This window comes from Homo sapiens, chromosome 17, assembly GCF_000001405.40.
Source record: "Homo sapiens chromosome 17, GRCh38.p14 Primary Assembly".
NCBI classification, from domain to species: domain Eukaryota; kingdom Metazoa; phylum Chordata; class Mammalia; order Primates; family Hominidae; genus Homo; species Homo sapiens.
In genome coordinates, this window is record NC_000017.11 from 47,432,550 (window position 1) to 47,444,146 (window position 11,597).

Sequence of the window (11,597 nt, forward strand, 5' to 3'; positions counted from 1 at the left end):
ACTTCATTCCAGCCTGGGTGACAAAGTGAGACCCTGTCTCAAAAAAACAGATAAATCATCCAAATTAATAGAACATTTCATTATAAAGTATTCATATTTGTTTTTAATAATGCTTTTTTCTTAACATCTACCTTGATATTAGTATAGCAACATTGGCTATCTTTTTTTTAGGGATAACATATCTTTTTTGTCATTTTACTTTCATTCTTCCTGTATCCTTATATTTTAGATGTATCTCATGAATAGTACATGGCTTTGCCAGCCTGTTAGTGTCTTAAAAAATGTTTTATTTGAAGTGTTTACATTTACAGAAGAGTTTTAAAGATAGTACAGAGTTCCTGTGTACCCTACCCAGCTTCCCCTAATGTTAGCATCATACATAGCCATGTAACATTTATTAAAACAAAGATATTAATATTGGGACAGTACCATTCATTAAACTACAGAATATATTTGGATTTCACTTGTTTTCACTAATGTTCTTTAATGTCCCAGATCTAGTCTGGGATACCATGATGCATTTAGCTGTCATGTCTTATTAGCCTTCTCTAGTGTATGACAGTTTCTCAGTCTTTCCTTCTATTTAGTGAGCATGACACTTTGGAAGAGTATTGGTCAGGTATTTTGTATAAACCCTTAGTTTGGGTTTATCTCATGATTAGCCTGGGGTTATGCGCTTTTGGGATGAATACCCCGAAGGTAAAGTGCCCTTTTTATTGCAACATATAATGCATTATATTAACATGATTTGTTACTGATGATATTAACCTTGATCACTTGAAGTGGTGTCTGCCATATTTTTTCGTCGTAAAGTTACTGTTTTTCCTTCTTTCAAAGTTTTTGTTAGATGCAAGTCATAAAGTTTAGCCCCATGCTCAAGAAGAAAATTAAGCTATTCTTCTAGAGGGAGGAGTATCAAAGAATTTGGGGACGTGTGTTAAAATAACCACAGTAATTAATAAATATTTTGGAGGAGATACTTTGAGACTGTGCAAGTATTCTGTTTCTCCTCTAAGTTTCTCCCACTAATTTTAGCATTCATTGGCAGATGAATTGCTAGCCTGTAGCAATTATTACTGTGTTGTTCTAATGTTGATTTTCTACTTCCCTCATTCCTTCTACATTTTAAAATTATTTGAAATTCTTCGGCAGGGACGATTTATTCCTTCACTCCCATTAATTAATTAGTAATATGTCTTTTAATTAAACCATGTGGTTAACTTACACTTATGAGATTACTAAAGTATTTGGCTTTAAATCTACCATTTTACTAGTACTTTCTATTTCAGCCACCTGTTCCATATTTCCTTTTCTCTTGGATTTTTTACTTTAAAAATTACTCAATTTCTTAGACAATAGCAAAACAAATATGACAAAATGATATAAAATCCTTTTGGTGTGATAAGTATGTTCATTATTTTATTGTGATTATTGTTTATTTGTGTTTACAAATGTCAAAACTTTGTCAAATACCACAGTTTAAAAGTTGCTGTCTGTTGTGATCCAGAGCAATCAGACAAGAGAAAAAAATAAAGGGTATCCAAATCAGTAAAGAGAAAGGCAAACTGTCACTTTTCATCGATGATATGATCATATACCCAGAAAACCCTCAAGATTCATCCAAAAAGATCCTAGATCTGATAAATGAATTCAGTAGAGTTTCAGGATACAAAATCAGTGTACACAAATTAGTAGCACTGCTATACACCAACAATGACCAAGCTGAGAATCGAATCAAGAACTCAATCCCCTTCACAACAGCTACAAAAAAAAAATAAATAAATACTTAGGAATATACTGAACCAAGGAGGTGAAAGATCTCCACAAGGAAAACTACAAAACACTGCTGAAAGAGAGTATCAGTGACACAAACAAATGGTCATGGATGTGTGGAATCAATGCTGTGAAAATTACCGTACTGCCAAAAGCAATCTACAGATTCACTGCAATTCCCATCAAAGTACCATGATCATTCTTCACAGAACTAAAAAAAGTCCTAAAATTCATATGGAACTAAAAAAGAGCCTGCATAGCCAAAGCAAGACTAAGCAAAAAGAACAAATCTGGAGCATCACATTACCTGTCTTCAAACTATACTGCAAGGCAGTAGTTATCAAAACAGCATGGTACTGTTATAAAAATAGGCATGTAGACCAATGGGACAGAATAGAGAACCCAGAATTAAAGCCAAATACAGCCAACTGATCTTCGACAAAACAAACAAAAGCATGAAGTAGAGAAAGGACATCCTATTCAACAAATGGTGTGGGGATAATTGGCAAATCACATGTAGAAACACGAAACTGTATCCTCATCACTCACCTTATACAAAATCAACTCAAGATGGATCAAAGACTTAAATCAAAGATTTGAAACCATAAAAATTATAGAATATAACATTAGAAAAACTCTTCTAGACATTGGCTTAGGCAAAGAGTTCATGACCAAGAACCCAAAAGCAAATGCAACCAAAACAAAAATAAATAGATGGGACTTAATTAAACTAAAAAGTTTCTGCAAAGCAAAAGAAATAATCAGCAAACAGACAACCCACAGAATGAGAGAAAATATTCACAAACTCTACATCTGACAAAGGGCTAATATCAAGAATCTACAAAGAACTCAAACAAGTCAGCAAGAAAAAAACAAAACCATCAAAAAGTGGGCAAAGGATATGAATAGACAGTTCTCAAAAGAAGATATACAAATGGCCAACAAACATATGAAAAAAATGCACAACATCACTATTTGTCAGGGAAATGCAAATTAAAACCACAGTGAGATACCACCTTACTCCTACAAGAATGGCCATAATTAAATTGATGTCGGCATGGATGTGGTGAAAAGGGAACACTTTTACGCTACTGGTGGGAGTGTAAACTAATAAAACCACTATGGAAAACAACATGGAGATTCCTTAAAAAACTACAAGTAGGTCTTTTGACTCCTTGGTTCAGTATATTCCTAAGATTTTTTTGTTTTTGTTTTTGTTTTTTTTGCAGCTATTGTAAAAGGGGTTGAGTTCTTGATTTGGTTCTCCACTTGGTCACTGTTGGTGTATAGAAGAACTACTGATTTGTGTACAGTAATCTTGTATCTGGAAGCTTTGCTGATTCTTTTATCAGTTCTAGGAACCTTCAGGAGGAGTCCTTAGGGTTTTTGAGGTAAACAATCATCATCTGCAAATAGTGACCGTTTGACTTCCTCTTTACCAGTTTCGATGCCTTTCTTTCTCTTGCCATATTACTCTGGCTAGGACTTCCAGTACTATGTTGAAGAGGAGTGGTGAGAGTGGGCATCCTTGTCTTGTTCCAGTTCTCAGAGGGAATGCTTTCAGCTTTTTGCCATTCAGTATTATGTCGGCTGTGGGTTTGTCATAGATGGCTTTTATTACATTAAGGTATGTCCCTTGTATGCCTATTTTGCTGAGGGTTTTAATCATAAAGAGATGCTGGATTTGTCAAATGCTTTTTCTGCATGGTCATGTTATTTTTGCTTTTAATCTGTTTATGTGGTGTATCACATTTATTGACTTGCATATGTTAAACTATCCCTGCATCCCTGGTACGAAACCCACTTGATCATGGTGGATTATCTTTTTGATATGTCGTTGGATTCGGTTAGCTAGTATTTTGTTAGGGATTTTAGCATCTACATTGATCAAGGATATCAGTCCGTAGTTTTCTTTTTTGGTTATGTCCTTTCTTGGTTTTGGTATTAGAGTGATGCTGGCTTCATAGAATGAATTAGGGAGGGTTCCTTCTTTCTCTGTCTTGTGGAATAGCGTCAAAAGGGTTGGTACCAATTCTTCTTTGAATGTCTAGTAGAATTCTGCTGTGAATCATCTGGTCCTGGACTTTTTTTGTTGGTAATTTTTAATTACCATTTCAATCTTGCTGCTTGTTATTGGTCTGTTCAGGATACCTAATTCCTCCTGATTTAAGCTAGGAGAGTTGTATTTTTCCAGGAATGTATCCATGTCTTCTAGGTTTTCTGATTTATGTGCGCAAGGGTGTTCATAGTAGCCCTGAATGATCTTTTGTATTTCAGTGATGTCAGTTGTAATATCTCCTGTTTTGTTTCTTAGTGGGGTTATTTGGATTTTCTCTCTTCTTTTCTTGGTTAATCTCACCAGTGGTCTATCAATTTTATTTATCTTTTTAAAGAACCAGCTTTTTGTTTCATTTATCTTTTGTATTTTTTTTTTTCAATTTCATTTAGTTCTGGTCTGATCTTTGTTATTTCCTTTCTTCTGCTGGGTTTGGGTTTGGTTTGTTCTTGCTTCTCTAGTTCCTTGAGGTGTGACCTTAGAGTGTCAGTTTGTGCTCTTTCAGTCTTTTTGATGTAGGCTATGAACTTTCCTCTTAGCACTGCCTTTGCTGTATCCCAGAGGTTTTGATAGGTTGTGTCATTATGGTCATTCAGTTCAAAGAATTTTAAAATTTCCATCTTGATTTCATTTTTGACCCAATGCTCATTCAGGAGCAGGTTATTCAAATTTTCTTGTATTTGCATGGTTTTGAAGGTCCCTTTTGGAGTTGATTTCCAGTTTTATTCCATTGTGGCCAGAGAGAGTGCTTGATATAATTTCAATTTTCTTAAATTTATTGAGGCTCGCTTTATGGCCTATCATATGGTCTATCTTGGAGAAAATTCCATGAGCTGTGAATAGAATGTGTCTTCTGCAGTTATTGGATGAAATGTTCTGCATACATCTGTTAAGTCCATTTGTTCCAAGGTATAGTTTAAGTCCATTGTTTCTTTGTTGACTTTCTATCTTGATGAACTGTCTAGTGCTGTCAGTGGAGTATTGAAGTCCCCCACTATTATTGTGTTGCTCTCCACCTCATTTCTTAGGTCTATTAGTAATTGTTTTGTAAATTTGGGAGCTCCAGTGTTAGGCACATATATGTTTAGAATTGTGATATTTTCCTGTTGGATAAGGCCTTTAGCATTGTATAATGTCCTTCTTTGTCTCTTTTAACTGCTGTTGCTTTAAAGTTTGCTTGTCTGATGTAAGGATAGCTACCCCTGCTCACTTTTGGTGTCCATTTGCATGAAATGCCTTTTTCCACCCCTTTACTTTAAGTTTATTTGAGTCCTTATGTGCTAGGTGAGTCTTCTGAAGGCAGCAGATGATTGGTTGGTGAGTTCTTACCCATTCTGCAGTTCTGTATCTTTTAAGTGGAGCATTTAGGCCTTTGACATTCAGTGTTAGTATTGAAATGTGAGGTATGGTTACATTCATCATATTCTTTGTTGTCTGAGTACTTTGGTTTTTTGTTTTTTGTTTTTGCTTTTTAACTTGTATTTTTGTTTTATAGGTCCTGTGTAATTTGTGCTTAAAAATGTTCTGTTTTGATGTGTTTCCAGGATTTGTTTCAAGATTTAGAGCTCCTTTTAGCAGTTTTTGTAGTGGTGGTTTGGTAATGATGAATTCTCTTAGCATTCATTTGTCTGAATAAGACTGTATCTTTCCTTCATATATGATGCTTAGTTTCACTGGATATAAAATTCTTGGCTGATAATTGTTTTGTTTGAAGAGGCTGAAGATAGGGCCCTAATCCCTTCTACCTTGTAGGGTTTCTACTGAGAAATCTGCTGTTAATCAGATAGGTTTTCGTTTACAGGTTACCTGGTGCTTCTGTCTCACAGCTCTTACGAGTCTTTCCTTCGTCTTAACTTTGGATAACCTGATGACAATGTGCCTAGGCGAAGATTGTTTTGCTATGAATTTCCCAGGTGTTCTTTGTGCTTCTTGTTTTTGGATATCTAGGTCTCTAGCATCTTGGATATCAAGGCCAGGGAAGTTTTCCTCGATTATTCCCCCAAATATGTTTTCCAGGCTTTTAGAATTCTCTTCTTCCTCAGGTACACCAACTATTCTTAGATTTGGTTGTTTAACATAATCACAGACTTCTTGGAGGCTTTCTTCATATAGTCTTATTCTTTTTTTTTTTTTTGTCTTTGTTGGATTGAGTTAATTAGAAGAACTTATCTTCGAGCTCTGAATTTCCTTCTTCTACTTGTTCAGCTCTATTACTGAGACTTTCCGGAGCATTTTGCATTTCTAAAAGCGTGTCCAAAATTTCCTGAATTTTTGATGGTTTTTTCTTTATTCCCTTGACTATTTCCCCCTTCACTTCTTGTATCATATTTTGGATTTCCTTGCATTGGGCTTTGTCTTTCTCTGGTCCCTCCCTGATTAGCTTAATAACTAACTTCGTGAACTCTTTTTCAGGTAAATCAGGGATTTCTTCTTGGTTTGGATCCATTACTGGTGAACTAGTGCGATTTTCCTACCAAGCTTTATGTAATACTATTCACTTTCAGAATCTGTCCTGTACCCAGGTTCTAATATTAATTTCTGCTTCCCTCATATACCATCTCAAGACTGCTATCTTTGGCCTCCTGTATTTCCAAGCTTCTTTCTTTTATCTCCCCAGAGGTTAAGGCTTTCATCCATCAGCTCTCTGACTTGTTCTTAGTATTTCCCTACACAGCAAGGGGACTCTCTTCTTATGGGTAAACTCTCATTGATATTATCCATGTTCTGTATTATAAAGATATTTCCTTATTCTTTCTTCTATGAAATTGCCACCTGAGTTTCCTCTTTGTTTTGTTTTTTTTTTTTTTTTTTTTTTTTAGACAGATTCTTGCTCTGTCGCTCAGGCTGGAGTGCAGTGGCACATTCTCGGCTCACTGCAACCTCCGCCTTGAAGGTGCAAGCGATTCTTCTGCCTCAGCCTCCCGAGTAGCTGGGATTACAGGCTCCTGCCACCACCCCTGGCTAATTTTTGTATTTTCAGTAGAGACGGGGTTTCACCATGTTGGCCTGGCTGGTTTGGAACTCCTGACCTTAAGTGATCTGCCCATCTCAGCCTCCCAAAGTGCTGAGATTACAGGCATGAGCCACCATGTCTGGCCTGAGTTTCCTCTTTGGTGTAGGCTCTGAAGCTGACTGCGCTGGTCCTAAATTTTTATTTCCTGACTTATATGCAAATACAAATGTTTAATATTCTGCCTCTTAGTTACACTGTAGGCATGGACTATAGGTTATTTTACTTGCCTTACTTGTTAATTTGTATGGATTTTTGGAGACCACGTGGAGAGATTAAATTTATGTGTCTACTGTCATACTAAAGCAGTGTTTCTAACCTTTTTTTCTCTTGCTCCCCTAAGAAGCCTTTATAGACATTTTAGTTCCTAATTATCCCCCACCCCCATGAAAATTTAATACCACAGATATACCATATATCTGTTTAAGTACTATGGCCAGAAACTATTGTAATATCTGAGATTTTTTTTTTCTCCTAAGAACCAGTTTTACCCCTTGAGAGCAGTATCACTCTCAATGAGAATGTATGTTCTGAAAGTATCTTGAATTTTTTTTTCATTGTTGTACTGCCGAATCCTATAAGTAGTATTTTACTTATACTTTAACACATGTATGAGTAATATTGGTCTATAATTTCCCTCCCTCACCTCCTCAGTATTATATTTATTCTGTAGTTTTGTAGGCAATTAGGAGCTACTGAAGGGTTTTATGCATGGGAATAATCAATTTTTTTAAAGAGGAATACATCCCTTGACATACTGTGGAAAATAAATAGAAGATGAGACTGGTGGCATAGGTTTTTAAAGATGCCATTGTAATAATAAAGGTATTAGTTAATGCAGTAGTAAATTCAAGAAGTATTTGGAAATAAAATGAGCAGAAATTGATAATCATATGCATGCAAGAGGTAAGGGAGAAGAAATAGCCCAGCCTTACTCTCAAGCTTTTAACTTCTGTTATAATTTGACTATTAGCTTCAGCTATATTATTTAATTCTGAAACAATAATTCTTTCTTTTAAGTAAATTATGCTTTGCCTTACAGAAAGTGGCAAGGTTAGCATTCAAGAATTTATGACTAAATTATCCGATATATTGACAATTCCTAAAGCTGCAGGTAAGTTTTATTTAATATGTACTTATTGCCCAGATCTAGAAAGGCAAGCAGTGGTTTACATGTTAAAAACAATACAGGATTCGATAGTTAAAGCACAGGTAAGTAAGAAGCAATACAATATGAATATAAAACAACACAAGATTAGTTTACATAACTTCTGTTTGAATTCTAAGGCAAATATTGCTAAGCTTAACCCAAACTCAAAATTTTAGGTAGTCTTACTTGATAGTGCTAGAAAATTACTAGATTATATATTATTCAGTATGCATATTTGACTTCTGAAATTATTAGAAAATAATTTTTAAAACTTTTGACAAATCCAGTAGAATTTTTATCACTATCTGTTATGTTCTCATGTATCTTCAGCGACTCTCTTGATCACACTTTTTAAACATTCATGCTTTTTGAGGTATAATGTACATATGGCAAAATTCACTCTTTTTAGGTATACAGTTCTTTGGATTCTTAAAAATAATGTAATGTAACCCTTACTATACACAACATATAGACTATATTATCCCCCAGAAGTCTCTTATGCCCTTTTGGTAATCCATTTCTTCCTCTACCCTGAGCCCCTGGCAACTACTGATTCATTCTTTGTCCCTCTAGTTTTGCCTTTTGTGGAATATCATGTAAATGATTAAATATGAAGTGGTTTGAGTTTGGCAGTCATTGCATGCATATACCTTGAATTTACTTTGTTTATACTCTCATTTATACTACCAACCCTCCCTAGAAAAAATGGATTCTGATTGGTTCTGGTTGCAGTATTACAAATTCCAAATAAAGCTTTATTTGAGGACCCCCAAAGTTGAGGTACTGATCCCTTTGGCTGTTTGTTTCCCACTAAGTTGTGTGTGTGTGTGTGTGTGTGTGTGTGTGTGTGTGTGTGTGTGTATGTGTAACCAACATTTTGTTGAATCAACAATGTACCATTAGTAAAGCTGCTGTGCAAAATTATCCCTCAGATCTGTTCTAAACTTACAGTTTAACTGATTTTATTGTCCTCACCTAAGGTTATACAATTCATTTTTTGGAAGAAAATACTAGGACATTAAATCAAGATGGTTACTTTTGCTATTTTGCTGAAGATTCATATTTAAATATAAATGAAGAAGTTAATCTACACATTAGAAGTGTTTTAAAAAATGTTTAAATTGATACATAATTGTACTTTCATTTATACATTGTATAATAATCAAATCAGTGTAAGTAGCAACCCATTGTGAACCCCAAATATCAGAAACAGGATTCAATTAATTTAGAAAGCTTATTTTTGCCAAGGTTAAGGGTGTGCCCATGACACAGACTTAGGAGGTCCTGACACATGTGCCTAAGGTGGTTGGGGCACAGCTTGGTTTTATACATTTTAGGGAGACATGAAATATCAATCAATACATGTAAGATGTACATTGGCCAGAAGGGCAGGGGAAAGACAATTTGAAGCGGGGAATTTCCTTATGGGCAAATTGTGAGGGAGTTAATGTAGCTTCTTCTTTTATTTTATTTTATTTTATTTTATTTTATTTTTTATCTCTGTTGCTATCTCCTTTAGGAATAGAATGGGAGGTAGGTTTGCCTGACACAGTTCCCAGCTTGACTTTTCCCTTTGGCTTAGTGATTTTGGGATACCGAGATTTATTTTCCTTTCACACCATCAGCTCAAACATTTATCATTTCTTTGTAGTGAGAACATTCAATACATTATTAACTATAGTCACCCTTTAATTTTTAAATAGACAAATACAAATTGTATGTACTGTATATTGCATGATTCAAAATATGTACATACATTGTGGAATGGCTAAATTGAATTAATTAACGTGTTTTACCTCACATACCTATTTTTGTGATGAGAACACAAAATCTTTTCTCTTAGCAATTTTCAAAAATATTATACATTGTTATTAACTGTAGTCACCATGTTATACAACAGAGCTCTTAACCTTATTGATTTTCTAATATTTTATTAAAGATTTTTGAGAGTATGTTTATGAGGGATATTGGTCTATAGTTTTCTTTTAGTGTCTTTTCCAGATTTTTTTGTTAGGGTTATGCTGACCTCATAAAATGAGTTGGGAAGTCTTCCCTCCCTTTTTTATTTCTGGTTGAGTTTGTGCATTAGTTGGTTCTAATGCTGCTAATAAAGAAATATCTGAGACTGGGTAAGTTATAAAAGAAAGAGGTTTAACTGACTCACAGTTCCATATGGCTGGGGAGACCTCACAATCATGGTGGAAGGCGAATGAGGAGCAAATTCACCTCTTACATGGCGGCAGGCAAGAGGGCTTGTGCAGGGGAACTCCCATTTATAAAAACCATTAAATCTCGTGAGACTTATTCACTTATGGGGACACTGCCCCCATGATTCGATTATGTCCACTGGCCCCACCCTTGACACTTGAGGATTATTACAATTCAAGGTGAGATTTGGGTGGGGACACAGCCAAACCATATCAGTTTATGATTATGATTAGGATTATTGTTTTCATTAAATGTTTGGTAGAATTCACCATCTATTCCTGAAGATTTAAAATATTGAGCTCTATTTATTCAATGGATATATAGCTCTTTAGAGCCTCCCTCTTCTAAATCTTTCTGTAGTTGTCACTATATCTTTCTGTAAGTATCATAAAGAAGAAATATACTTTCTATAAGTGGAACTGTGTCTTGTCAAAGTTTATTTTATGTAATTTGTCAGGTTTATTGTCATGAAATTGTTCATAATATCCCCTTATTATCCTTTTAATGTCTATAGTGTGATGTCTTATTTTTCATTCCTGATGTTTGTAATTTCTATTTTCTCTTTTTTGTTTGTAACCAGTCTTGCTAGGGAGTTATTAAATTTATTAATAATTTTACACAAATGGTGATTTTGTTAATTTTTGTTAACTTTTCTCTTTTGTTTTTCTTTTTCATTGGTTTATATTTTTATTGTTACTATCATTTGGTCTTTGTTTACTTTGGGCTTCATTTACCCTTCTTTGCTAGCTTGTTAAGATAGAAGCTTAGATAACTGATTTTTATCCTTTTCTAACATTAAAACTGCAAATTTTCCCCTAATATGTCTTTCATTGCATCTCACAAACGTTGTTATGTTGTGCTTTTTATCATTTACTAAAATATTTTCTAATTTACCTAATGATTTTTTCTTTGAAGTGTAGGTTATTTAGAAATGTAGTCTTTAATTTCCAAATATTGGGACATTTTCTAGATATCTTAATTATTATTGATTTCTAATTTATTTATTTCTTTTAGGGAGAGGGTCTTGCTTGTTGCTCAGGCTGGAGTGCAGGTGGCATGATCATGGTTCACTGCAGCCTCCAACTCTTGGGCTCAAGCAACCTCTTGCCTCAGCCTTGCAAGTAACTGGGACTACAGGCACACACCATTACACCTGGCTAATTTTAAACATTTTTTCTGTAGAGATGGGGTCTCATTTTGTGTTCCAGGCTGGTCTTGAGCTCCTGGGCTCAAGCATTTCTCCTGCCTTGGCCTCCCCAAGTGTTGGGATTATAGTTGTGAGCCACTGTGCCAAGCCTGATTTCTAATTTAATACATTTGGCCAGAGAATATATTTTGCATGATTTAAATTCTTAAATTAATTAAGATTTATTTATAGCCCTGGTTATGGTCTATCTAAG

At 34.8% G+C, this 11,597-nt stretch overlaps 1 protein-coding gene across 1 annotated transcript in view; it reads left to right on the top strand.

Moving 5' to 3' along the window:
- EFCAB13 (EF-hand calcium binding domain 13) overlaps positions 1-8,763 on the top strand; it is a 117,358-nt gene extending 108,595 nt beyond the window's left edge. Inside the window, exon 25 of the mRNA NM_152347.5 lies at positions 7,882-8,763. Within this exon, the coding sequence (NP_689560.3) occupies positions 7,882-8,165 (284 nt within the window). The 3' untranslated portion in view covers positions 8,166-8,763. The remainder of the gene's footprint in view (positions 1-7,881) is intronic.
- Positions 8,764-11,597: the final 2,834 nt, after the last annotated feature.